We start from the raw sequence: 27,934 nt of genomic DNA, 5'->3' as shown, positions 1-27,934 counted from the left end.
TTCGTGTTTTTAAAATGCCGTGTGATGGCCGCAATACTTCTGTAACGAATGATGTTTAAGCACGGAGCCCTTCACTGGCCGACGCGCGGGTGGGAGATAGGAGCCGCGCCCAAGCTCAGGTGGCGGCTGCGGGCAGGGCCGCCTGGGGCCGCAGCCGGGCGCGCTCCCGGCGGGGACCCTCTGCTCTCCTTGCAGACGGAGGCCGCGCCGGGTTTGGAGGCATCCCACAGCCTCAGGCCGAGGACCCGCCGCGAAGCGCCGCCTCCGCGGGTTGACCCTCTGCAGCCGCCGTAGCGCAGAGACGAATCCGCGCTCCCCCAGGCTGTCGCGCGAGCTCCCCGGAAGCTCCCACCTGAGCGGCGCATCCTCAGGGCCTGGGCCTGGCCTCCTTGCCTGTGAGATGGCACTGTGACGGTGCCCACCTCGTGGGGTGTGTGAGGGCCGAGTGAAATCGTGCATTTGCGGTAAGAAAGTGCTTATCACGGTGCCCAGTCCTAATATGGGCTGCCAGCCTAAGTACAGAGTCCCAATCCCAGCCCAAAGGCCAGTTTCCAGGTGAACCCTTGTCGGGGAGACCACCAGACGGAACAGTCCCAGTCTACACTCCTGCACCGAGCAGGGGACAGTGTGGACCGCAGAGAGGTCCGAAGTCCCTTTAGAATAAGGATGGTGCTTCAGGGTTGTTAAAAGGATTAAATGAGATGATATCTAAAGGGATTAGCACAGTGGCTGGTGCTAAAATAAATCATTTTCTCTACTGCCACTGCTCTTACAACCAGACGCCTGGAACAGCCTGCTGGTTCGTCTCCTCATTTGTAAGCTGGAGTTAGTAGGTGTGTTGTGAAGGTTGAGAGAATATGCATAGGCAGAACCTGGCGTTTAATATTTGGGAAGTGGCAGCAATTCTTTCTTCATTAATCTACAAGCTGCACTGTGGTAGGCACATACCCTTAGCACCGATTCTTATAAGTGCAGGTAAGAGAGAGAGAAGATATATTGTGTAAGTCGAAGGAGCCAGCCGTGTCCAGGCCACCGCAAAACCTCGACAGTACTGTACCAGGGCCCTCTTCAGTGAATGAATCTCCTCTTTGGCCTGTTTGCTGTCTGTTTGCATTTGCTGCACCCATCAGTTCCCAAACCTGGTCTCTAAAGTCAGGAGCTCAAGGAAGCTTGTCCCAATCCTAGAAAACAAGTACAGCACACACCAACAGCAGCATCCCTAAAAGCCAGCCCTACTGGCAATGCGGGCCCTGCAACCCGTAGGTAAGTGGGACACTCTAAGCTTCTTGGAAACAGCTAACTCAGGGCCTGATTAGCTTACTCCCGCCTCCTGTCTTCAGGAAATCAGACTGTGTAAAATAAGAGAGAAAAGAAAATTGACATAAGTCTATTCCACTGTCTAATGAAATGTGTTTCACTTGTGTTTAAAGTGAATTGTGGGCTGGCGTGGTGGCTCATTTGCCTATAATCCCAACACTTTAGGAGGCCAAGGCAGGCAGATGGCTTGAGCTCAGAAGTTTGAAATCAGCCTGGCAACATGCAAAAACCCCATCTCTACAAAAAATATAAAAATTAGCAGGATGTGGTGGCGCATGCCTGTAGTCCCAGTTACTCTGGAGGCTGAGGTGGGAGGATGGCTTGAGCCTGGCAGGTCGAGGCTGCAGTGAGCTGTAATCATGCCAGTGCACTCCAGCCTGGGTGACAGTCAGGTCCTGTCTCAAAAAAAAAAAAGTGAATTGTAGTACCAGCTACATTTGTAGAGCCCTTTCTCTTTACAGTCATGGTGCTAAATTCTCTGATCTCATTTAATCCTCCCAACCACCCTCACAATGCTGTGTCCATTTTACATATTGGAAAGCTAAGACTCAGGTTAAGAGAGACTTGTTGAAGGTCACAGCTAGTAAGCTGCAGAGAACCAGAAAGTGAATCTGGGTTGATCTTGACTCTAAACAGTTTGCTTTTAACAACTATACTCCTTTGAACATATTTACCCTATTTTCTTCATTAAGTAAAATGTTTTCTGTATCTTAATTTTCAGAACCTCTAATACAACATTTTGCAGAACGTATTTTCTAAGTATCCCCGATCCCCGCAATCCAGGCTGCCTTCTGTAACCTTTTAGTCATTGCAAACACATAGTAGATGCATGCTGAATTTGTGAGCTTGGCACCACACATGACAGGCTTTGGTTAGGGAATTCAGCTGCAAGCAACCAAACCCTCAGAGCCAAAGCCAGGGGTGCTAGGACCTCTGGCCCTGCAGTGGCCCTGATATGGCCTTTGTGTCCTGCCTCAGAGGCCTTTCTATCCCCACAGTTACTGGGACAAAATGTCCTATGCTTTCACCCTTATGTGGCTCCAGATGTAGGATTTAATTTTTTAGAAATCTGCAATACTGCAGCAGAAATGTAGTTATGAGTCAGGGATGTGTATGTGTGTGTGTCTGTGTGTGAAAGCCAGTCTCTCAGCACCAGCTAAAAATGTGAAGCAGCAAGTCTGTGCTGGGAATTGAGGACACCATATGCTTGCATTTCTAGGTCTTCCTAAGAGTTATATAACTGCCCCTAAAGCCAGGGGGCAGGAGCAGGGCCAGCCGTGGGAGACGTTTCCAAAGAGGAATGCTGAGGAAGGACTGACCTTGAGGAGACAGGGAGTTTGCCAGGCTGTGGAATGTTCCCAGCCTTGGGGCTTAAACAAAAACTGTATTCAGAGGGTGAGTGCTCTGTTGAGAACAAACCCTATCTGTCTCCTGCTTTGTCTCCGGAGCTTATCAAGGTGAGCCCTTTCTCTGCAGGTTCTGGATATTGAATTTAGAGGTGGGCACAGCTGCCAGAGCAAGGCCCTAGTAATCCTCCCAGCCATCTCTAATTAGCCGACTTCAGGGCCCTCCCCCCCCCCAACCCTTCTGTGTCCTGAGGGTCAGGCAGAGGGGAGATAAGAGCTCTCATCTATTCATAGAATAAGGTTGCAGAAAGGCACCCTGGGAGGAGAGCTGTGGGAGGGAACACAACCAATCAACAAAGGTTTATCAAGGGCTCACTCTGTGGTCACACTTGGGGGAGGGAGGTATCTGATTGGCCCCATCCTGCTGAGGGCCTCTGTACAGTATTCTTTCCTAGAAAACACCCTCCCCACCATCCTCGCTCCCCACTGCAGATCTTACTTGACTAAAGCCCATTATTCTTACAGGCCTCAGTTCAGAGGCCTGAGACCTAGAGCAATGTTTTTCAAACTGTGGGTCATGACCCATTAGTAGCTTGTGTAATTAATTTAGTAGGTTACATTGAGCATTACCGTCCCCCACACCCTCCAGAAAAACAAAGACAAAAAGATTAAAGGAAATAGAAAAGAGGCTATCTGAGCACATTAGACACCATGAAGTTAAGTGCTGTTTGTTATGTGGATGCGGGATCATGATATAAAAAGCCAAATTCTTACTGGTGATTGCGATTAAAAAAAAAAAAAAGATTCAAAAACCCCTGGCTTAGAGGCTGCATCTGTCCATATCCTTCTCACTGCAAGTGTCAGAAATCCTGGCTCAATCTAACTTAGATGAGGAGGACATTTATTATCTCACTTAAAGGGAAGACTAGAGGTGATGCAGGCCCCAAGGTGGTTAATACAGTGGCTTAACTCTGCCACCAACAGTACCATGCCTTCATGGTGGGTTTTATCCTCAAACTGGTAGTAAGATGGTTACAGAAGCTCCATGTCATATCCAGAGAACACTCAGCGGGAGGAGAGACAGAGACTAGATCTTCTTGTGTCTCTGAGGAGTGAAGAAATTTTTCTTGGAAGCCCTCTGGCTGAATTCACTATGTTGTAGAGAATTGGTCACAACTGTATTCCTAAATCCATCACTGGCAAGGGGGTATAGGAGTCTCATGAGTAGATGAGACTGAGCAGGAGATCCCCCTGGAGCTGAAGGTGGGAGAGAAAGGCGGATACAAAAGTGATCAAAAAGTAGGACCAAATGACAGAATGGGAAAAGATGCTTGCAGTGTCTAAAACTGACTAATATCTAGAATACACAAGGAATTCCTACAAATCAGGAAAAAGACAGCAACCCCATAGAAAAATGAGTAAAAGATATGAACATGCCATTTATGGAAGAATTAACCCTAAAATCTTACAAAATATGATAAAATGCTCAAAATCATTGTTAATCATCAAAAATATGAATTTAAATGAGACTTTACATAGACTGAAAACAATTATTAATAGAAACCTGCGAGGTCTGAGAAAATTAAAAAAAAAGAAAAAAAGCCAGCTGGACAATTCCAGTGATTGGCAGGGTGTGCAGACATGGGAACCTCACGCTGCTGGTGAGACTGTGGACTGGTGCAGCCATTCTGGAGGGCAGTCTGGTCTTCTTGGTGAAATTATGTAAATGAATATATCATGTGACCCACAGTTCTGTCCCAGGAGAAATTCTCACAAAGGCCAGGAGAAGACCTGTGTGAGGATGCTCCTGCAGTCTTATTAGTGGTGGAAGGGAGTTGCCCACCAACTGAGTGTCAATTATTGTGAAAAATAATAGGTCACATGTGGGGCGTGCACACAAAAAGCACTGTGTAGCAGTTAGAAGCAACTGGAGTATCATAGGAAGGATCAGGAGTACTCATAGCAAAAAAAAAAAAAAAAGAAAAAAAGAATCTACTTGGTGGTTATGAGTTTTTTGGAAAAGTCATTTTCTGTTGAACATGCATACTGAGATGTATAATGGGTGAAACCATGTCTGGGATTGTCTTAAAATACTTCTGAAAGAAAGAAGTAGGGATGGAGAGGAGAGACTAGATAAAACACAATTGGCAAAATGTTGGTAAAATTGTTCAAACTACATGATGGCTACATGGAAGTTTGTGATATTATCTTCTCTACTTTTGTGTACCTTAGAGAATTTTCATGATAAAAGTTTAAAAGTACATACACACACACAAAACAATACCCATGTTGCAAGAACACATTGAAATAAGAAGATAAACATTAAAATGGTTGGTTACCTTTTAGGAGAAGAAAGGAAGGAGAGCTGAGTGTGGTGAAAAAAGTGAAGAGTGCTGGCTTTGGAAGCATGTATGCTAAAATTGGAACCACACAGAGATGACCATGACCCCTGTGCAAGGATGCTGTGCAAATTCATGAAGCATTCCGTATTTTTATAAGTAAATAAATGGAAAAAAGTGTAAAGAAAAAAGATCCAGAAAAATTGGGATACCCCAGTGGAGCATGGGATGGGTAAAGACCAAGGGGAGGGCATGTACATTTGGCAGGCAACCAGCAGGGCCTGCCCGGAGCCCATCCTTATTTTCCCCAGGAGCCTCCTCCCAACCCCTGAGGCTTGGTTAGGCTCCACCTGTGGTTTTCTGTGGTACCAGGGGATTTTCCTCTTCTGGCACTTACCACACATCCTCTTAAGACCTGCTCATTGCACTGTCTTCCCCACCAGACTGTAACAGGGAGTGGGCCTATGTGTTTGTTTTGCTCAATTCCATTCCCCCAGCATGTGGCACATGGTCCACCATTCTGGGTGTGCTCTAAAATCCGTTGAGTGAAAAACAGTAGCCAGTGTTTGTTGAGTATTATCTCACTTTATTCTCAGAACTCTATGAAGTAGGAAATAGTATTTTCACCCGTTTGATTAACAAGGAAATGGAGGAGGCTCAGAGAGGTTAAGTGACTTGCCTAAAGTCAGAGCTAAAGTATGGCAGAGCAAGATCCAGGCAGACCAGCTGCCATTAGAACCAGTGTTCTCAATCCCTGCACCATACTATCTTGAAGAGGGATGGAGGCCAGTGGTGTCGAGGAGAGAAGCTAACACACTTGAAATATTTTTCAGTCAACATCAGACACTCCCAAACCAAGAGCTAATGTGGTACAGACTCTGGGAGCTGTGTGGTAGAGAACGGAGTGGAGTGATCAGAGAGATAGGGAACATTGGAAAAGAGATTAATAGAATGTGATAGAAAGTGATTACAGTTGAATCCAAAAGCATCTTCCCTAAATTGTCATGGGGTTGAGATGGTAGGCTGAGGCCCAGCCCACCCCTATGGGGGTGTCTCTTGCCTTCTAGGTAGTTCTTAATTAGTGGTTCTCAACTGGGGGTGATTTTGCCTCCAGCGGACGGACATTTGATAGTATCTGAAGACACTTTTCCTTGTCACAACTGGAGGGAGAAGGGTGGCTAATGACATCTAGTGGGTAGAGCCCAGGGAGGCTGCTAAACCTACTAAAATGCACAAGGTACAGGATACCGTCCCCCAAAAAGATTCATCTGATCAAAAGCTTAACAGTGCCACAGTTGAGAAACCCCACCAGTTCTTAACCTGAATGATAGTTTTGACCATTCACCCACTCTGCTTCCACAGTCTTTCTCTCTCAGCTTCCAGAATCTCTAAATACAAGGACATGGCAAAGACACAGTGTTGTCAAGAGAAGCCTGCGTGTGGGCTGGGCCTAGAGAGCCTCACATGATGGCATTTCCTTTGATGGTTCATTACAGCCCAGGGCCACTGTACCATCATCCCACCTTTCTACTCTCTGATGCTTAGTCCCAGTGGTGTGCTGGTTAATGTTTAACAACCAGCTCTCTGGGAAAACAAGTCCTGGTTTGTAGCATTTGACAATTTCCATGGTGTAACTATTCCAACCTTGGCCAATTTAATGTTGCCAATGAGAAGTCACCTTGTTTGCAAAATTCCTGAAAATTTAACAAATGAGCTGGTGTGAGCCAGCTCCTGCACACCACTGCTTAGACCCCACCTTCCAATCTTCCATGTTCTCTCATAAGCCACATAAATGCGTACCCACTGAGTCAATGGCTTAACACAATGAAAGTGGGTTTCTCACACAATAGTCTGATATGGGTGTTCCTGATTGAGTTGTTCTCTCACATGGCCCTCCTCCAAGCAGCGACTCAGGGCCAGGCTCCTTCTGTCTTGTGGCTTACTTCCTCTAGAAGTTCTCAAACTTCAGTATGCATCAGAGTCATCTGGAGAGCTTAAAATGCAATTCCCCAGAGTTTCTGACTCAGTAGGTCTGGGATGGGGCTTGTGGATGTGCATTTTATAAACAGTTCCCAGGCATTGCTGGTCTTGCTGGTCTTGCTGGTTGGGGGACACATTTTGAGAATCATTGCTCTGAGGCAATGATTTGATTTTTTTTTTCTTTTTTCTCTTTTTTTTTTTTGAGACGGAGTCTCGCTCTTTTTGCCCAGCCTGGAATGCAATGATGCGATCTCGGCTCACTGCACTGCAACCTCTGCCTCCTGGGTTCAAGCAATTCTCCTGCCTCAGCCTCCTGAGTAGGTAGGATTACAGGTGCCCGCCACCACGCCCAGCTAATTTTTTGTATTTTTAGTAGAGATGGGGTTTCACTATGTTGGCCAGGCTGGTCTTGAGCTCCTGACCTCAGGCGATCCATCTGCCTTGGCCTCCCAAAGTGCCCAGCCTGAGGCAATGATTTTCTACCTTGGCAGCACACTGGAATCACCTGGGAAGCTTTGTTAAATCCTGATGCCTGGTTCCACTTCCAGAGTGTCTGTTTTAATTGGTCTAGGATGCAGCCTGACAATGGCGATATTTAAAGCTCTCATGTGATTTCAATCAACAGCTAACGATGAGAACCACTGCTTGAGGGCCTTCCTATTTCTTCCACCATGCATCTGGTAGGTATAGAAAGAGAATGCTTTTTTGTGGAAGGGCTTATGGGCCAGGCCTGCAAGTGATAGGTACATCAGGTGAACTCCTGTTCCGTTGCCTAGAACAGTCACATGGCTGTACCTCCACAAGGTGGGGTGAGAAATGTGTTCAAGGTGGGTGCTTAGGAAGAAGAAGGGGTATGGTTTGTTGAACAACTAATAAGTTTCTGCCATGCCTACCTACTAGCTACTTCTTTGGAATAAGTATACCTAGCTAGCTGCTCAAGTATATGGACCCACAAGAATCTGATGAGTCCACCTTAGTATATGGGAGTCTCTGGCTTTAGGGTATGTTGAGGTAAAAACCACCAGTGGCAACACAGGATTCTTTTATGTCCCTAATGGGAAGCAGCTTGATCTAATGGAAAGATTAAGGCTTATAGATATGTGTTCAAACACATTCTTAACCACTTCTTACAGGCTACTAACCTCTCAATTTCCCCTCTGCAAAGTGGGGATTATATTTACCTCTAGCTACTTCATAGGATGAAATGAAATAAAAAGCCCCCAAAATAGTGCTGTAGGCAGTAGTACATGTTCGATAAATGTTGGTTTCCCTTCCCTTAGAAAACATTGCCTTGTTGGCACCAGTGATAAGGGAGCTGGATTGGGTGACCTGCAAGGACTCTGGGCTTCTCTCCTGGCACATGCACATGGGGTGAAGAGCTGGCTGTGAGCATTTTGCTGTCCCTTCTTTGGGAGAGAACCCATACGCAGAAGACTTTTATAGTAAAGGATGAATGTTTGTTTCTGGGACAATATATAGTTGGCAATAATGTCTTCATATGCCTGTCATTTTAGCAAAACTTTAAAAACTTGCAACCAGGTGGGCGCTGTGGCTTATACCTATAATCCCAGCACTTTGGGAGGCCAAGTCAGGAGGATCTCTTGAGCCCAGCCTGGGCAACATAGTGAGTGAGACCACATCTCTAAAACAAACAAACAAACAAAAAAACACCACCAACAAAAACTTACAAGCAGTTTTATATAGAGCAATAATTTATACTACAAAGACATTCTCTGCATTTACCGAATAACCTCTTCAAACAGCTCTTCTTTCCTGTGCACAGATTAACTGTACTGCGTCAGAGTCCTAAATGGGGAAGGGAAGAGATGAGAAGGGATGAGATCACTGCTTATACAAGACAGGGCCAGGAGGGACAGTATTAAAACTTCTGTCAGCTGAAGGACAATCATGAACGCAGAGGAGGCCTCTCTGCAGCCCACAGGAGGCAAGGGACACATCCCCGTACGCAGACAGCCGCAGCCTGGGAAGCAGATCTGCCCATTCACCTAACAGGAGAGGCAGTGCCGAGCTTGCCGAGGATTAGAGCCTCCCACCTTCTTGCTCCCGTTATGCAAGTTGCAGCTTGATCACCCAGCAGCTCCTGGGGGCAAATCCATTTGAGTAACTGTTCAACAGCATGTGCTTAATTTCCAAGAAACTTTCCATGATCTTATGTTTTAACACCAACTCTAACCTTCCCTGTTCTTTGTTTTTCATAAAAACACTGCCCTTCTCCTGTTCTTGGTCCCTGCTAGTGCTTTCTGCCACCACAGCCAACACTTCCCTAGCATGTTGGGAGCCCAGGATTCGAGCCCGTCTGGGTTCAAGGCAGATTCACCCAACTCTGCCACTTTGTGGCTGTGTGACTTCAGGCAAGTTACTTCACTTCTCTGAGGCTCTGTTGTTTCACTTTTGAAATGTTGATAGTTTAGGACATTGCCTGGCATGTAACAACCACTATACAGTAAGTAGCTACTTCCATTAGGTGGGAACAGCAATGCGTTCCCCTGTGTTTATCTTCAGGAGACACCTGGAGCACAGTTTGGGGTGGAGATGTGTGTGTGGGCGGGTGTAGGAGGTGAGTGACCTTTTATTGAACTATGATGAAGGGCCAGTCACTGTACTAAACCCTTTCCACATTTTCCTTCACTTAGTCTTCACGATAGCCTCATGAGGTAGGAACGGGGGTCACCTCCCATTTTACAGACAGAGGCTTGGAGAGACCACATGACTTGCCCACATTGTCCACCTAAAATGCCCAGGATCCAGGCTTCCCAACCCACTGCTGAGACTTACACTGTCTCCGGGCACATGGGTGAGGTGGTGGGGCTGAAAAGGAAACCCAGCACTTGAAAGTCTGTGGGCACAAATCCCGTGCAGTCCCACCGGCAAGCCTGAGCCCAGCCAGGAGATGCCTCCCACTGTGAGCGCCCGAACATCTGTGCAGTCAGGTTTGCATCTAGGAGGACGGCACACAGCGTAGCTGGTGGGAAGTGTGAGACCCACCCATTCCAGTCTTGTTCCAGCCTTGCCTCCTTTTCTTAAACACAGGACACCATGGACAAGTCCCTTTGCCTCTATGCCCTCCTCCTTCAGTAGGGAGTGTTGACCCCCTGTGCTAAGTGTTCAGTTTTCTTTGTGAGGCACTGAGCTGAGCACCAGGGATAAAATGGAAAGAACAGATTGGCTTTATGACCTCATAAAGCTTAGCAGGAAAAAAAGGGATATTAAATTAATAATTACATAACTGAGTAATATAGATAATTAATTAGAATTGTGAGTTCTTTGAAGAAATAGAGAGTACTCATCAACTATCTGATGGGAGATTTCAATCTAGTTTGGGGAAGGGAGGGGTTTGTGAGAGCATTAGAGGCCCAGGACAGGGACTAAAAAGCTCTGGAACCAGGCAGGTCCAGGGCTGATGTTCCTTTTGGTGTCTCTGTCTTTGTGGATCTCTTCTTTACCTAGTACCTTTGCTTGCCATGGGTCCCCACTCAACTTTCTAACACCCTAATTCCATGCATGACTCATTCTTACACTCTCTAACTTCAAAGTCTTGAGAGAGGAGAGGCCTTAACTCACAGACAGGTGGCAAGCCGGGACATGGATTTCCCTTGGGTAAGGTGTCAGCCCTAAGCCAAGAAGCGGACTCAAAGTGACAGTGAAATGTTAAAATGATGGCTGTTTGGGCAACAGAAAAATGTGCATGCATCCATTCATTCAATAAACATCCATAGCATTAGATGCTGGGGAGGGTATAGCCTGGTCCATGTCATCTAGGAACTCATAATCTATCCGGGAACAGGCAAATCAACAGAAGTGGAAGTGCTACACTAAGGTGTGCAAAAGTGAGGATCCAGACCTAATGGGTATTCACAGGGTGAGTGGATTTGCCAAGTGAATGAAGGTCGGGGGGAAGGTGGGTGGGTTGGGAGAATGCCAAAGGGACTTATAGGATGGCAGAAGAAAGGGTGTATGGCACATTAGGGGACTGCACAGGAGTTTGAATGGCTGAGCAGAGATGGGTTTATGTGTTGGGGTCCAGTGTGAAGATGGATGGTGGAGAGGGGCAGCCATATGGGCTTGGAGGATGGATTAGAGCATTAGTTCTTAGATTTTGCTGTGCATCAGAATCACCTGGAAAGCTACTTCTAACAGATTGCTGGGTTTCACCTCCAGTTTCTGATTCAATAGGTCTGCATCAGAATTTGCATTTCTAACAAGCTCCCAGGTGATACTGATGCTGCTGGTCCAGAAACACTTTGAGAACTACCGGAATAGAGAAAGGCAAAAATTAGGGATACCACCAAAAAGCCGCTTCCAGCACCCAGATGTAAAGGACACCGGCAGTAGAGAGAATGAACTATTGAACAGCAGCCACTATGAGACTCCCTTTTATGCATAATTTCACTTAATCCTTTTAACAGCTCTGAAATATTCTAGAGTAAAGGAAGCACAAAGAGGCTAAATTATGTGCCCTTCATCAGCCAGTGATGGGACACTGTCTGTGTCTGTTAAAAGACGCAAAGTCCATGTTCTCTACCACAACATTGGAATCCACAGTAATTGGGTGGGGGGCAGAGCAGGAAAAGAGAGGGCTCACCCACCTTTCCGGTTTCTCGCTTGGGCAGTAGGGTGCCAAATGTCATCACTGCCTAAAGCATATTTATTTGTGGAACCTCAAACTTAGGCTCGCCATTGGTACTAAGACTCAAGTGTGCCATGCTCTTTCTGAACAAATGCAGATGTCTAGGACACACTGGATTTGTACATCTGGGGCTCAGGAGAGGACCAGATCAGAGCTGGAAATCATGCCAGGAAGAGTATGAAGCAGGGAGAGAAGGTGTGGAGGCCTCCCTGAGGAAACGAGGGGTCGAGCAGGTGAAGAGGGGGCTGAGAGCTAAGGAGTGCACAGAGACAATGACAGAAAGACGGGAGGTCTGGTTTCAGGAAGGGTGTGATGGACAGAAGAGATGCAGCAGAGGTCAAGGAAGGACCAAGATGCATCAGGAGGTCAGTATGGCCTCAACCAGGCAATTTTGGTGGACTGGTGTTCATGGGAGCTGGAAGAGGCAGAGGGATGACTGGGAGGTGAACAATTAGGAGGAGTGGCAGTGACTCTTCTACAAGTTTGTCCATGAGGGAGGGTGACAGCTAGAGAAAGGGGTAGGGGTCAGGATGTGAGAGGGATAAGACCGCAATTTAAATGCTGAGAAGGACCTTAAGAAGTTGAACATATCAGTGAGGACCCATATACTGAAAAAGGTATGTGGTCAGAAGTGTTTGTTAGGAAGGCATTTGAAAGGGGGGTCAGAGACAGAGATCTGTAGGGAATCGACAGTGCTGAGGGCCATTGTGAGAAGCTGCTTGTGATGGCTCTGGAGTGATTTTAGCTCCTAGTGACAGGGCCAGCAGGAGAGTTTGAGCGTAGAGGTAGAAATGAGAGCCCAAGCACTCCTGCTTTTAGAAAGTTGGGAAAGCTCTAACCCACAGCAGGCCTGACTTTGGTGCCAGCTTTACCCATGAAGAGCAGCTCACTTACCTGCTCTTCCTAAATCAAATGTTTGGCTGTAGAACTTTCTATTCAAAGGATTGTCACACAGAAAAGGGCAGAAATGTTCTGGTGGAAAATCAGGTGTGAAGTTCAGAGCCTTCCTTTTGCCTTGCTCCCTCCAGGGTTTCCCAGAAGACCAGGGCTTCTTAGAGCTGTCAGAGAAACACTGGCTTAACGTTCTCTGGGGTCCCCTTGTCAAAAGCTAAAGTCTCAGAGTGTTTCAAATCTTTTGCATCAGGAAATGCCCATGACCTTCATCGCAGCAGCGTATGTGCGTTGGTCTTCTCCAGGGATGCCGAAAGTAGACATACAGGGAGTCGCAGTACGGATACCACCAGTGCCAGCCTGACCTCACAAGAGACGTCTTGTGTGACTGGCCCTGCCGTCACAGCTGGGCCAGTAAAGTACCTTCCAGGAGGCTCCAGTTGCTACCTGACTCACAACCTTCTAATCCCATGATCTTTTAGTTCTAGTTTCCTTATCTTGGTCTGAGCAAATGGCTCATTTTAAAGATGACTTGCAGACAAATGTAGAGATCATCCCAGGGGAAAGTGCCCCAAGAAAGGAGAGTCCAAGACCACCTGCCCCTCCCAGTTCTGCGGCTGGAGTGGGTGGGTGCAGCAACCACAGCCCCAGTGTACAGGAGTCACCACTGTCTCCTCCCGCATTGGCCCAGCTTGGAAGTGCACAGCAACCAAGCATGAGGACTGAGTTAAGCTTTTCGGAGAAAAAAGACACTATGATCATCTGGCAGATCACGATCACTGTTTGGTGCCAGAGGTAAGGAGTTTGCTTGTTGTGTTTGCTTGGAGGCGACAGTTGGCAATGACAGCCTGGGAGAAGCACCGGCAGTTAACAGCACTCTGCACCACTCATGGCTGAGACTGAGGGGAGCCTTTTACAGCAGCTCTGAAAGCAGGAGGTGTTCTCAGACTTGACCCTGAAGTAAACACATCTCTTTCACCTTTTTCTTAAGTGCTTGCTGGCACATAACCACTTGCTGAAATTGTGTCATTGATGCTAAATTAGGAACACATTATATGGAAGGAAGGGAACCACTTCTCAGCACACATGCCCAGGCAGACTGTGTGGGATAGATTTCTGCTTCTCAGATAAGCCCTGGGCTAGAGACACTTGAGATGTGGTGGTGATCTCTGGAGGGAAAGCAGGAAGGCTTCAGGTCTCTTTTAGACTGAAAGAGAAGGGCCTCATCTGCAGTTTAGTATACTCTGAGGGTCTGGAAATCCTTTAGGCGAGGTGCTCTTCCATCAAAAAGCCAGATGCTAAGGCAGCAGGTGGAGTTACAGCCCTATCACCCCAGGCAGCAGCCAGAAAAAATGGGTCAGGTAAACTCACCTACTCCAACTAAAAGAGCACGGGCAGAATGCTTCCTCTTAGCCAGTGGTTTCCAAACTTGAATGTAAATCAAAATCACCTGAGGGCTTATTAAGCCACATTGCTGATGCATTTCTGACTCAGTGGGTCTGGGCCCGCCTTCCTAGCAAGCAACCAGGTGATGCTGATAAACTGCTGGTCAGGGACTCATGTTGAAAACCACAGCTCCAGATCACATAGACATCTGTACCAAAGAAGCGACGAGGGCACAGACAAATTCCATTATAATAGCCATCTTTATTTGTAAAAATCCAGATATAAAATGTATTCTTTCAGTCTTTCCGGGTGTTCCTTTTTTACAAAAACAAAAAGGCACATAAAAACCTTCCCCGCTGTCATTTCCACAGATGGATGGTTTTCAGGCAGCCCTCCCCCCTCCCCCCATAGAGCTACATGCTTCATTCCAGGACGTCTTGCTTCCCCACATGCTGCGGTGCTTTCCTACCAGGGTAGAGTTCCAAACTCCAAGACTGAAGTACACAAAGAGGGGGTGGGTGTCGGATGCAGAGTGTGTGGCCTGATGCTCCACGGCGTGCAGGACGGGGGGCTAATAGTAGGTTTCCTTCTCCACCCAGCCTGTGGGTGGCAAAGAGACAGACAAGACACACTACAGTGAGTCTTCCTCGCTCCAGCATTACAGAGGGAAACAGGGATGAAAACCAACCGGAGGATGATGGGGGTCGGGTGTGTTAAAATCCAAACATGGGACCTCAACTGTACTTATTTACATGTTTTTAGGAATACCAAGTTACCTGGAAAGATGGTTTAGATTCTGACAAGTTTTCACTAAATCATACTTGGTTTGTATTTTAAAGTCTAAAACATGACCAGTCCTCAAACTGTAACTGAGATCTACATTCTGAAGATGTGACTATGGTCAGTTTGCTGGTCCAGTCACCTTAGCTAATCAGACTGACCACTGAGGGAGCCTAGACACCTTGAGGGAAACAAAAAACCAATAGAACTATAGCCCCTCCCACTCCTCCTCCAACCAAAGTCAGAATGCCCATAATTACCGCCAGGGCGTCGCCTGATGATGAGTTTTCTGACTTCGTCATATACGAAGATGAGAAGAGAGTAGGGGAAGGCACAGAACCACCAGGTAGGTCTGGAAATAGAGTAAGGTACCAATTTATATGCACACGAACACAGTTCAAATAAAGAAAGAGAAATTGCACATCACCAGTGACAATGAAATAATCAGCCTGAAAGGAGAAGCCAAGTACAGTCACAGTTAACTACTGAGTCATTAACAGAACAAATAAAAATGTCTTAAAACAGATTGCTACTCCATGTGCCCAGGGCCTAGAGACGCAGAGGAAATCAGTCTGCAGACTTTGTAATGGAATCCCTACTCATCTTCAGTTTGGATTTCATAAGACTTGGTTTATAGGATGAGCAGAGTACTTTTCTGTTAACCATCCCAGAGCAACTGAACATTTTCTTTCTTTCATTTCTAAAGTGTTTAAGAAGCTTTTTAAGACCATCTGCCTAATATCCCAGCATTTTGAAGATAAAGACCTGCCAGTGTGGGTCAAAACCAGTTTATGCATTCCCCAAATTTGATCTCTGACAACAGCATTTGGGATATCAGCTCTGTGTTCTGAGGCCTGGTCCTGGGGACTGAAAAAAGCTGAGCCCGAAGGCTTCCAAGGGGCCTGGAGGCTGAGCCACACAGTCTCTAGCCTGCTGACAGGCTCCAGGCAGCCTCCGTGATCACCAGCTCCCTGCTATGGTGTGAGAAAGGCTGTCCCTGGGCAGGACTCCGGTGGTCTCCTCTTCTTCCTGTGTGTCTGACAAGGCAGCTAAGAGAGATGATCTCATTTGACTCAGTCACCGAATAACTGAACCACCTTCCAAAATTGGGCAGAACCTGTCAGAACAATCTCTTTGGTGGTGGCAAAAAAACCAGGGAAGGACCCAGAAGATGGAAATGCCCCCTTTTCAGTGTAATTTTCCACCAGCCTTTTTGGAAAGCTCTGTGACCTCTCCAAGCCCCATCTTGATACATAATGGCCCAAGCTGACAGAATTCAATTTGGAGATGGCTGGCCCCTGCTGTACACCAGCTTTGTGTAGGGAGCTGGGGATGCACAGAGAAGAAAGACACTGTGGCCCATGCCTTCTAGATTAAAACCTAGCAGGGAGGTGAAATGACAAGCAACAAGTAATGCCAGAGAAGAGGTGCAAGTGCACAGGCCCTGGAGGGACAAGCTCCAAGGAAACCGGCCCTGAAGGGACTATCAGGATTGGCAGGGTAAGAGGGAACAGAAGGAGGGATGTGGGGAGGAAGGATCTTACCAAACACAAAGGCAGAGGAAGAAAGCCGAATTCACCTAACATGAGCTTGGATGGGTAAGGGGTACAAGAGAAAGCTATAAAGACAGGTTGGGACAATGAGACTGACTCTGGATGCCAGTCTCATCTTGCACCACAGACGATGTCTGCACATAACCCACAGGAAGTGAATGAGGCTGATGGGTTTTGGTTACTTTAGGGATAAGATGAGCTGAAGGAAGTGCTGGCAACAGGGGATTGAGAGATGGTCCAGACGGGTCTGAGCAAGGATGAGGACAGCAGGAATTCAAAGGAGACTAATGCTTTAAATCAAAAGCTTCAAAGGAACTTGTAAATGGGTCCCACAATCTGTGGCTTTGCACGTTTTAATCAAGTTGCAGTTGCTTAACCTCAACCAGGTATCACCAAACATACTCAATGTTGCAAAAAACTAACGGAGTTTGTGATAAACCCTCTTTGAAAATTCAAGTTTATCTGAAATGCAGAGTCATTCACTGTGTTTAAGGCCAAAGACTAGCAGTATGCTTCCTTTGATCAACTCTACCCATGACTGATTATAAAGTAAAAGGGACCTCAGATCTGTTTCTCCAACCTTCTTTCTTTGAGAGCAGAGTATTCAGAGTCTCAGAAAGGTGGATGACTTGTAATGGGACAGTGACTAAGCAAGCAAATCAAGATTTGAGCCTGGGCGCCTACGCTCCAGCATACCCCCAGTTGGCCTCTAAAGACAACTGGACTACAGCTGTGGCAGACCTGAGTGCTCAATGCAGTTCGCTGTTGAGCAGTTCCATGGAGCTAGAGCCTGTGTGGCTTTATCTTATCTTGGGCCAAATCCTAAACACTAGCTGCTATCATGGAAGCCTCAGGATTTGTTAGTCTGATTTACTGACATGTCAAGCTTTCACAGTTTTCCAACCCATAGGAATTTTTGTACATACCACTCAAAATTCTGAAAATAACAACTATTACCACAAGTAATGGGGGGAAAAGCCACACATACTATTTCATACTTTTTGGAGCTACCAGAGGATCAACTTACTTGAGGGGATACATCCTAAGAGCAACACCCATTCCAGGGCAGTAGGAAAGGAAAGCAGCCAGGGCTGTCTCTTCAAAGAGGCCAAATATCAAGATCTTGTTCCTAAAATCAAAGTAGGGGAGAAAAAACTTAAAAGGTGCAAATAAAGGTTTATCTTCTAATGCTATGCATTAAAATGGCAGATCAACATCTTTATGTATTAGCTGTACTTGAAAACTTGGAGGTCAGATGAAAAAACTAGAAAGCTACATTTCTTGCTTCCTAAATTTGCTCTATAAACTAGAGATTCCAGAAACCTGGCTATATGTGTCATATGTTTAGTTTTTGGCAAAGGGTTTACAAATCACCAGTCCCCTTCTTTGAGCCAAGGCCTTGACATGTCCTTCATTACTTACTTCATCCCCTGCTGGAAGACCGAATTCCTCCTGGTCTTACAGATGACCAAGTCGGCCCACTGCACCACCACGATACTGACGAAGAAGGCTGTGTGGCAGGTGAACTCCACGATTTTCCTCTGCTCATAGGTCTGAAATGCAGAAGACAGAAGATGAGCTCTGGCTCTTCACCTGCATGGCTGGTGGCAGTGTGGCCTCAGTCTTCTGGGGCTTGAGGAGCTCTGACACTGGTCAGGTCAGAGGTGCCCACTCACCCACTGCTGCCCGTAGCTGTCTTCCACATCGTTGATCCAGCGGTCATCCCAGTCCACTCGGAGGCCCAACAGGTGAATTGGGAGGAAGCCGTTCTCAGCCAGAATCACAAAGTAAGTAAAGAAGCCTCCCAGGGCCTGGATCATTCCTAAGTTGGGAAAACAACCCAATTACTAGAACCTCACACACAAGGGTACCTGTATAGCCTTCAGCTGATTACTGCAGCAGGCCTGGGAGAGCACATATGGAGGAGTGTTTCCCCCTGGTTGATAAAAGCACAGGAAAGAATTGCCTGGTCACTCACAGGCTATGAGGGATGGGATGGAGGACCCCAGGCATACACTCCAATCTCAGGGCCCTCTGCTTTTTGAGTCACTTTTTGGAGCCTACACAAAGACACATGTGCCTTGCTCTCAAAATGCCCACCTGTTACTTGACCAGCTGCTTCTAAGGGTATGACCTTTAGGGGAAATCCACTTCCCTACTTTTTAATCTCTGACAAATGATAACTTCTTTTCCATCTTTCAAAATTCCTACATGCTGCCATTTTTCTAGCCACTGTGGCACTTTCTGACTCTCCTCCCCACCTTCAGGACCCTCCTCCCCCTGGCATCCAATTTAACCACGCTGCTCCAAGTTCCTCAGGGCAGGGTTTCATCCTAAACCACCAGAGACCTAGTCTTCCTTCCTCTCAAAAGCAGGCCTCCTTGGAGAAGGTCAGGATGGGCCACCAGCCAATTACTTTGTTGCCAACAACTGTCTAATGAATCTTTGCCATAATTTCCACAATATTCTATCTAATCTGTTCTTCTTTATCCAAGCGTTCACAGTTATGTGACCCATTAATCCAGGAGAATAAGACATCCATGGTGGCTTTGCCAGGTTCTCTTGAAGGAACCCTAGGCAGAGGATTTAAAAACAAATGGCATGCTGATTGCCCACCACCTGGATCACCTGTTAGCTAGTCATGCTGCACTGTGGGGGCAGAAGTCCAGTGTGAGGTGGATGGAGGATCACCCTTTGGTGGTGACCTACCAGCCAAACTCTCAAACACATATACTTTCTCCAATGCCTAACTCCATCCAAGTGAGTGACAGATAAGTGTGTATCTCCAGGGAAAGCAGCCTGTGCGTCAGTACACACAATTCCTTAGAACCATGCCTCCTGTTCCGCAAGGCTCAGTGAGGAAGGACATCCTCATTTCTCAGGCAGAGTTGAGCCCAGTTCCAAGGTGCTCAGTATAGAAAACCAGTTTCCACAAAAGGTAACTGGGCAAACAGCAACAGATGTATTCTCACATGGAAGAGAGTTCAGAGAAACTCCACAGGCTCACTCCGTTAGGGCTCATCCTAGACCTGAAAGTCGCCTGGATTTGCAGTCTCTGAAATCAACCTCAACCTGAGGTGGACACCATCACCTCAGATGCCTTAGATGTGCCAGCTTCCCACTCCAGGCTGCAGCTTACCAATCTGCCCATAGGCCATGCTGATCAGCCGCTCATTCACAAGTTTGTCTGTTTTGGGATTTCTGGGCTGTCTCTTCATGATGTCACTCTCAGCCTGCTCATAAGCCAGGGAGATGGCAGGAACCTGGGAAGGGGTGGGGAGAAGGAATTTAGTTACTAAAAATAAGGAAGCTAATATTGTGAACCTTTTGTTATAAAATTCTTGCCCTCCCATTTAAAAATCTTTTAGGTGAAGTATACAAAAATAAAGATTCCCATCTGATAAACAAATGTTAACTGCTGCCTTGAAGAGTGGTAATACTGATTCTGTGAAGCCGGGATTGGGACACACACTGGATACTGGTCCTGAGAATTTCTTTTCCCAACGCCAGCCTCATGGATGCTGGGAGCATAGTGCCAGTGAATGAAGACACAGCTCACACCTCACTACTATCGATCTGTGACTGTTGTGACACTCACCATGTCAGTGCCCAAGTCAATGCAGAGGATGGTGACAGTCCCCAGTGGTAGTGGAATGTTTGCAATAATAAATATCAGGAACGGGGTGATCTCGGGAATGTTACTGGTTAAGGTATAAGCAATGGATTTCTTCAAGTTATCAAAGATCAGACGACCTATGAAAACCAAGATTTTTTACTGTTAGCTTATGAGACAAGCACACTGGAAACTGAACATATCCAAGAAGTATACAGAAATGGATGCTAATGGGCAGTATCTGAATAAGATCTTGGTGTACACCTTAAATAGCTCTCACCTTCCTCTACTCCAGTCACAATTGAGGCAAAGTTGTCATCCAGAAGAATCATGTCAGCAGCTTGCTTGGACACATCTGAGCCAGCAATCCCCATAGCAACCCCAATGTCTGCTTTCTTCAAAGCTGGAGAGTCATTCACACCGTCACCAGTCACAGCCACGATAGCACCCTACCCCAGAAAAGGGAAAACGGGTTAATACCAATCACTTTTCCTAGCGATGGAAATAGTGCGATGCATGCCCCCACTGAGCACTCATTACAGACACTGCTCCTTTCCTATTGAGACTATTTATGAAGCCTGAGAACCGTCACAGGCAAGTATTCACACAGGCCCTACACCAAATAACAGAACTGAGAAGTGACAACAAACATAGCCCCCAGCATTAACAAGAGCTACTCAAAGTAATGACTCTGGTGGGTGGCACTCCAGAAAATGCCATTCCTGTATGCACGCCCTGTAGTCTGACCACTCACATCTCTATTGCAAATACTAGGACCCCATATCAGATGACTCCACGGAGCGGTCAGGCTCTGGGACACAGTGGACACCTGGACTTTAAAGTGCTTCTGTCACTGCTAAACCATTAACAAGTCACCCTCTCTATGCCTATGAGCTTCCTACTGGCCTATTTATACTGAGTCTAATACAGCGAGGTATGCATCCATCCATCACCGTTGCTCTGTTTCCACTGGAACTCCAATCCCTAAAGCCAATAGTGCCCAAAGCAGCCTGATCCTTGTGCTGGCTGACCTGTCTTTGGCAGCCTTCCACAATGATGAGCTTCTGCTGAGGGGAGGTCCTGGCAAACACTATCTCAGTGTGGTACTTCAAAATGTCATCCAGCTGCTCGGAGGTCATGTCCTTTAGATCACTGCCGTGTACTACGCAGGCCTTGGCATCCCTAGAATTAGGACAAAAAAAAAAAAAAAGTCACGCATCACATCACCAGCATGTGTCCATCACCTCAAGAGGGGATATTCTTATGCAGATCACTTTGTAAACAAAACAAAGAAGGAATTTTCCCCAGCACATAAAAGCTATTAAGTGTTCAGTACTTTACAGGTTACAGAGCATTTTCATATATTTTATCTCATTTGAGGCTCATGATGATCTCTAAGGCAGGCCTGTCTGTATTCTTCCTTTCCCTATCTTTATTAGACATGCTGAAATATAACCAAGTTTTAGCTGGGTGTGTGGCTCATGCCTGTAATCCCAGCACTTTGGGAGGCTGAGGTGAGTGGATCACTTGAGGTCAGGAGTTCGAGACCAGCTTGCCAAAATGGTGGTCTAAAAATTCAAAAATTAGCCGGGCATGGTGGTTGGGGCCTGTAATCCCAGCTACTTGGGAGGCTGAGGCAGGAGAATCACTTGAACTCAGGAGGTGGAGGTTGCAGTGAGCCAAGATCATGACACTGCACTCCAACCGGGATGACAGAGCGAGACTCCATCAAAGAAAAAAAGAAATATAACCAAGTTTTAGAAAGTGGCAGAGCTGATACAAGACCAAACCCTCCTCTAACCGTAACATAGGGTGAAAGGGCCCTAAACCTTAAAACAAAACCAATTTGCTATTATCTGTTTTACTTCATTGCCAAATGTCTCCTGTGTTTGCCTGAATGGCCTAAGTAATTGTCCCTTCCTTATTTTATTTTGTTAGTGTGGACCTGGAAAGTGTCAAGATGCTAGGTGCTAGGCAGTAGAGCTCAGTGGTTAACAGCATGAAATCAGAAGCTAGACTGCTGAATTTACTGCATGATTTCACCAGTTCTGAGGTACTTCAAAAGCCTCTTGAATCCTTACCTTCCCTGCTCTGCAAATAATAGGTCACCATATCAAGCTCTTAGAACAGTAAATACCATCTAAGTGCTAATTATTATGACTTGCTCTTACTTAAAACCCTTCTTAGGAATGACAAGGTTGCTTTCTGGCAGTGCAGGTACATTTCCTACTCAGAGCAAGCCTAGATGCAAACCATTATAGAACCACGCTGAAGATTTTAAACCATCACTATTTGCTTGTTCACAGCAGACTGTGATTTGAGCTTCCTGCCTTACCTGGGGTTCACCTGGCTGACTGGGATGTTGAGGCGGGCAGCAATGTCTTCCACGGTCTCATTGCCTTCTGAGATGATGCCCACACCTTTGGCAATAGCTTTAGCTGTGATTGGATGGTCTCCTGTGACCATGATGACCTGTAATAAACAAGACAATGTGTTGAATGCAACTGCCAAGTAAATGACCTTAAAGTCTTATATCCAGTAGGCAAGAGTAAATACTAAGGATGATTCGGCTTAGACTATCAAAAGGAAAGGAATGCAAATATAAAACTAATAAACATCGATTAGCCAAAAATATAAACATATATATCCACAGAAAGGAAACACAAAGGCAATACTCAGGTTTTATCTTGGTATACAATCACTAGCATACACAATGTCTATTTTTCCTTCTACAGAGTTACATAAAAATACTTGAAAATTACTAAAACCAGCAAAAAAAAAAAAAAAAAAAAAGGATAAAAATCTGATGCTGGTGGGACTGTGAAGACACCACATGCTACTGGCTAGCATTCTCAAATTGGCACAACTTGGAGGAAAAGCAACATGTGACAAGAATTCAAAATTGTTATTTTTTGATGCAGTGATTATACTTAGAATATACTTTAAAAAGAAGCAGTCGGAATGGTGAGGAAATAACTTCTACAAAGCTTTTCAGGGCAGTATTAATCCTGAGAGTAGGCCGGGTGTGGTGGCTCACGCTTGTAACCCCAGCACTTTGGGAGGCTGAGGTGGGCAGATCACCTGAGGTCAGGAGTTTGAGACCAGCCTGGCCAACGTGGCGAAACCCTATCTTTACTTAAAAATACAAAAATTAGCTGGGCGTGGTAGCGGGTGCCTGTAATTCCAGCTACTTGGGAGGCTGGGGCAGGAGAATTGCTTGAACCTGGGAGGCGGAGGTTGCAGTGAGCCGAGATCGTGCTATGACATTCCAGCCTGGGCAATAGAGCAAGACTCTGTCTCAAAAAATAAATAAAATAAAATCCTGAGAGTAAAAAACAGAAACCAAATACCCAGCAACAGGATATTAGTGCACTTGAGTAATATTCAGCTACTTAAAAAAAGACAGATACACAGAGGACACCAAACACTCATTAACAAACAGTTAACTGAAAACACAGAAGATATGCCATTCATTGCATAAGGTACATTAACTTAGAATAATGCAAGTATTTTAAAACTTCAAGTCTTTTGCTGTTTTTACTTTGCTTACATTTCTTTTTTACACAATTGCTTTCCAAAAAATTTTTAATTCCTCGTGTGTTTACACCATCATATTTTAATACTATCTGGTCTTTTCTGGGTGGAAGTAAAGCTTTGGAGATGAGAAATTAATACTCCAGGTGAGATAGAACAGCTGGCCATCTGGACCTCAAAAGGCAACATTCACTGAGTAGGGTGTCCCAAGGCACTAAGAGATGAAGCCAAGGAGGCGCCTGGGCACTACCTTAATTCCAGCACTTCGACATTTGCCCACGGCATCAGGAACGGCCGCCCGTGGAGGGTCAATCATGGAGATGAGCCCAACAAAGCACAGATTATCGATAGGGAAATTCACATCGTCAGTGTCAAACTGGAACCCTTCAGGAAACTGTTCATCTGGCAGAAAGAGGTGGCAGAAACCTGCGAGGAGGACAGGAGCCTTTGAAAATTTCAGTGACGCTGGGCAGTAAGAAGGACAACAGCAGCCTATTCAGCCCGCCTACCTTTCTCTGGAGTGTTTACTTTGGAAAATTTTTAAAGTCTATATTTTTATAACAGAGTGAGGGTTTTATTTAACATTTATGAACGATAGAGTCACTGAAAGAAAAAAAGCATTTGAAAGACAGAATCCATCACACCAGGCCTCAAAGGAATTGGAAATTGTTTAATGTGGAGAAGACTGAATTGATAACACTAATTTTGAGCACCAGGATATTAGGGTTCTAGACTTGCCCACTGATGATGACATTAAGTTATTTGGATTTGGCAAATCATGGAATTATCTGCCTCAGCTGCCTTCTCTGGAAACATCAAGGCCATACCTCTGCTCTCTTGTTCATTTAACTGAAACATATTACTGAGCACCAATGTGGGACATCATGCTAGCTACTTTTGAGGATAAGTACAGATCAGATGCATTCTGCCCAGGGGGTTTATCATCTAGTATAGTAAATACAAGAATCAAGATAATGTAAGACATTCTTTTCAATGTTGTATGACGTTACAATGATCTTTAACGTGCCATGTGGACTCAAAAGAAGAGAGACTGCTTCCACTTTGGGGTGGTGGAAGTAGGGAAGTGAAAAACACTTAAAGAGAAGATAGCAATCCTTCGGTTGGATAGACACATACGAAAGATACCATGAGTTAGATTTACCCAAGTTAAGAAGAATAGGAAGCATTATATAAATAATGAATGTAGTATCTGTCAACCTACAAAGTATTATAAATGCCACTTTCCCAAATACATTAGACAATGGGTAAAGTGAACTTCTCAGCCTCAGTAGCTGTCAGGGTAGAAAAAAATAGGTAGCATCTTAGACTAAAAGTTTACCGTTAGTCTAGTTTCTAAGCTGAGCACATAAGTGCTCATGTAAATTCACACCCATTCCAAGGCAGTCAGGAAATAGTATGTCTAACTTAGACACACTAAGAATTAATTAACTTTAATTAGGCTTATAAGTCATGTCCACAGCAACAAAGGTTAGATAAGAAAGATATTCTTCCACCATTTTTTTTTTTAAACAAACAGAACTGACTAGCATGAGACCAAAGGTCTAAGTACAAGTCAGAAGCAAACCATCAGGACGTTGTTTCTCACAGCCCAATACGCTGAACATTTCTTCAGCACTTATTGTTTTCAAAATAATAGGGGGCAAATAAACAAATAGGAGGATTGCCCCTAAAAGATGTAGAGGAAGGTCAACAAGACATAGAGGTTCATAGGATCACTTGTTAACTGTCTACCAGACTAGGTTACTGGATAAAAACGTGCCCAGGCACTCTGTTACCAGGTTATCTGCATACCTAGGACTCGTTCTCCGAGGCCCCCCAGCTCCAAATAGGCGTTCTGAAAGGCGTCTTTCAGCTCCTCATCCAGGGGCTGCTCCTTGCCGTGGAGGAGGATAGAGCTGCAACGGTCTAGGATCCTTTCTGGGGCGCCCTTCATCACCAACAGGTGTTGGGGCTCCGATGTGTTGGGGTTCTTATGAATAGACAACTGTGAAGGATTGTTGAGACATAAACATTGGATGGTTGGATGTGTGGCAGTCCATGGTGGAAAACAAAGCTTCACTTACTATTTAGTATTTGCTATAAAAGACCCAAGATCCCTTCTTTCTGAACTCTGAAGTATCTTACACCTGTAACATACTTTGAATGCTACAGAAAAAAAAAAAAATGAGCACTATGATATATTCATAAATTCCTGACATTTGTTCACATTAAAAAAGAACATACGAAATTTCAGAACACAGGGATTGGGGAACACTTGTGTACACATACCTCCAGCCACCTCCCCACATGCCCACACCCACCCCAAACCACAAGTATTCAAAAGGGCTCAACAGTGTTTTGCAAGAGGCTTCATTTATCCTGCTGATATTCAACTAAATTATGGCATTCTATGGTAATCAAGGGCAAAATTTAAAGCTAAAGCTTATAAAACTCCAAAGGGAGAATATTTCCTCTTCCTGCTCATGTACCTCCCCTCTTTGTCCCCCAGCTTGCCCTCGCCCTCCGTGTACCCATCGATCTTCAGACCTGGTACTTGTTGGTGGAGTTGAAGGGTATCTCGACGATTTTGGCGTATCTTTCTCTCATCTCCTTCACGGAACCACAGCACAGCTCTATGCACTTTAAGAGTGCTGACTCAGAGGCATCTCCTGCAACTGCCCGCTGTGAACAGAGACATCATCTGTAAATTATCTCCAAAAAATTTCACTGAGGCATCACTAAAAAACAGGAAAAATAACTCAAGACACATTCCAATCTTGTCAGAGGTAGCAGAGGATGGGCAAGAAGGAAGCAGCGGTGTTAAGTGGGACAGGAGTCCCTCTAGCCCCGACCACTGCTGTTCACAGTGCTTCAGACTCAAACCCCAACGTCCTTCCCCACCCCACAGCAGCTTCTAGTGAAAGAAGGGTGTGGGAAGGTGTCACCTTCCCTAGAAGAGGTATTAACACACCCTTCCAACCTACTGCAGTCTATTTCTATCTTCCCCTGGCCTACTGAAAAGTCTCAAAGCCAATGCTATTCCCAACTACCTACTTCTGGTTACTTATCTGAAAATACCAAGTGAGAGATTAAACATTTATAGCACCTTTCATTACCGTAGAATTCGTAAGAAAATGCTTAAGGTCTCAGGACTGGGGACAAGCTGCCTGTGTCAAGGGCAAAGTAGAAGACTGTGCATTCTAATCATAACTGTGCAAAATTAACTGGGCCTGAAGGATGTGAACTGAAAGCTATTACCAACTCCAACAGTAATAAAATCGAACCACGTAACATTTTAGTTAAAGCCCATGCTTCAGTGACACACATATTTTCTATGATACATGATGACACACTTATATTTTGACATACTGAAAGCATTTTCAGTTGTAAACAAATTTTATATAGGTAAACCTTTTAGAACCTTAACATGTAAGGCTGCATATGCAGATGAACAGATCAATGCTCAGAAGTATAGCAGCTCCACAGAGCAAGAAAGTTGGCTGGGTTTGGAAAGAAACACAAAATAAGTGGGGGACATTTTAAATAAAAGCCACTTATTTTAATAAAAGCCATTTTTAATAAAAGCAGAATAGGGCTGCTTCTCCCTCCCCGCTTTTTAGTAATAATGCCATCAACATGGCCGAACTCCAGAAATACTTGGAATACAGCTTCTGCTACCTTTCTGGGGTTTTTTAATCAGGAAAGATTTGATACTTGTGGGACCTGATGCTCAAAGCCTAGAACATTTCCACTTTGAGGTAAAGAAAAACATGAAACATTTATCTCAAGTTTTATCCTCAAGATACACAACATTATCCTCAAATCAACATCAATTCAATGCCAAGAAAATCTCCTTTGCAGAATAAATGAACCCTATCCTCATCACAGAAGGCATCTGAGTTACATCCAAGCCATATTCCCTTTGGCAACTTAGTTTATACCCACAACTACTACAGGCAGCTTCACAGAGAATGTGGGACCCAGAGAGCCTCACATAGCTTTCTTCTCCTACAGGACTTTGTACAATTCATGATCCTTCTGAGACTGCATCTTCACTTGGGCAGCATAGTAAAATCTCAATCATTTCAAACTGCATCAGAATTCCACAGGCTAAGGCTGGGCTTATTTTGGCCTGGAGCTTATTTTTACATCATTAGTAAACAAGCTAAGAACCAATAAGATAAGATAAGCTGAGCTATTTCAGGAAAATAAATGGCTTAAAGGAGTTACTGGAATCTACTGTATCCTAATATGCAAATACGATTATGGAGTCACTGCAGCCCTCAGCTCTCACTGTCCACTAGGTTAGGTGATAACATATAAACTCAAGAGTAGTAAAAGCAGATGAATTAGGTTTTTCACCAATAAAGACTGTCTTCCGTCTCCTCCCCTCCCACTTTGGTCAGATTTTTACTGCATCTTCCCTTTTTAATCAACCTATATGGAGCAGGGGGTCCTATAATACATCAGGATCTACAGGCAACACAATGTAAGTTACACACAGCAAAGTACTGCACAGACCACTCCAGGTGTTCTACAGTGAACAG

At 45.3% G+C, this 27,934-nt stretch overlaps 1 protein-coding gene, 1 long non-coding RNA gene and 1 pseudogene across 8 annotated transcripts in view, besides 4 other annotated features; 2 read left to right on the top strand and 1 right to left on the bottom strand.

Annotated features, from left to right (window-relative positions):
- Positions 93-222: a silencer, noted in NCBI's record as "silent region_1231". NCBI's record gives its function as "represses an Ori minimal core promoter by ATAC-STARR-seq in GM12878 lymphoblastoid cells {active_cell/tissue: GM12878}" and the evidence as "EXISTENCE:reporter gene assay evidence [ECO:0000049][PMID:35858748]".
- Positions 93-476: a biological region, named in NCBI's record as "Sharpr-MPRA regulatory region 13778".
- Positions 182-476: an enhancer, noted in NCBI's record as "tiled region #13778; HepG2 Activating DNase unmatched - State 1:Tss, and K562 Activating DNase unmatched - State 1:Tss". NCBI's record gives its function as "activates a minimal TATA promoter and a strong SV40 promoter by Sharpr-MPRA in HepG2 and K562 cells {active_cell/tissue: HepG2 | K562}" and the evidence as "EXISTENCE:reporter gene assay evidence [ECO:0000049][PMID:27701403]".
- On the top strand, positions 301-26,058 carry ATP1A1-AS1 (ATP1A1 antisense RNA 1). Of its 5 annotated transcripts, none has more exons than NR_027646.1 (3): positions 301-464; positions 17,792-18,027; positions 25,897-26,058. It is a non-coding gene; the product is annotated as an ATP1A1 antisense RNA 1 (long non-coding RNA). The 5 variants fall into 5 exon arrangements; NR_024125.2 differs by lacking the exons at positions 17,792-18,027; positions 25,897-26,058 and adding exons at positions 11,728-11,995; positions 12,775-14,209 and having other exon boundaries at positions 340-464; NR_027645.1 differs by lacking the exon at positions 25,897-26,058 and adding an exon at positions 19,609-19,923 and having other exon boundaries at positions 348-464.
- Positions 2,658-3,159: an enhancer, noted in NCBI's record as "NANOG hESC enhancer chr1:116958386-116958887 (GRCh37/hg19 assembly coordinates)". NCBI's record gives its function as "activates a minimal SCP1, AML or CMV promoter by ChIP-STARR-seq in primed H9 embryonic stem cells {active_cell/tissue: H9 hESC(primed)}" and the evidence as "EXISTENCE:reporter gene assay evidence [ECO:0000049][PMID:30033119]".
- On the top strand, positions 5,054-5,157 carry RNU6-817P (RNA, U6 small nuclear 817, pseudogene; annotated as a pseudogene).
- The window catches only part of ATP1A1 (ATPase Na+/K+ transporting subunit alpha 1), a 31,531-nt gene continuing 17,745 nt past the window's right edge, over positions 14,149-27,934 (bottom strand). For all 3 annotated transcript variants that reach the window (NM_000701.8, NM_001160233.2, NM_001160234.2), the window contains exons 11-23: positions 25,935-26,069; positions 25,200-25,392; positions 23,638-23,813; positions 22,189-22,325; positions 20,885-21,035; positions 20,134-20,302; positions 19,839-19,993; positions 19,380-19,503; positions 17,917-18,062; positions 17,663-17,793; positions 17,268-17,369; positions 14,948-15,039; positions 14,149-14,507 (exon numbers count right to left, since the gene is read on the bottom strand). In NM_000701.8, the coding sequence (NP_000692.2) occupies positions 14,479-14,507; positions 14,948-15,039; positions 17,268-17,369; positions 17,663-17,793; positions 17,917-18,062; positions 19,380-19,503; positions 19,839-19,993; positions 20,134-20,302; positions 20,885-21,035; positions 22,189-22,325; positions 23,638-23,813; positions 25,200-25,392; positions 25,935-26,069 (1,740 nt within the window). In that variant the 3' untranslated portion in view covers positions 14,149-14,478. The remainder of the gene's footprint in view (positions 14,508-14,947; positions 15,040-17,267; positions 17,370-17,662; positions 17,794-17,916; positions 18,063-19,379; positions 19,504-19,838; positions 19,994-20,133; positions 20,303-20,884; positions 21,036-22,188; positions 22,326-23,637; positions 23,814-25,199; positions 25,393-25,934; positions 26,070-27,934) is intronic.

This window comes from Homo sapiens, chromosome 1, assembly GCF_000001405.40.
Source record: "Homo sapiens chromosome 1, GRCh38.p14 Primary Assembly".
Lineage (NCBI taxonomy): Eukaryota > Metazoa > Chordata > Mammalia > Primates > Hominidae > Homo > Homo sapiens.
Note: the sequence above shows the minus strand (reverse complement) of the source record. Positions and strands in the feature narration are given on the sequence as shown.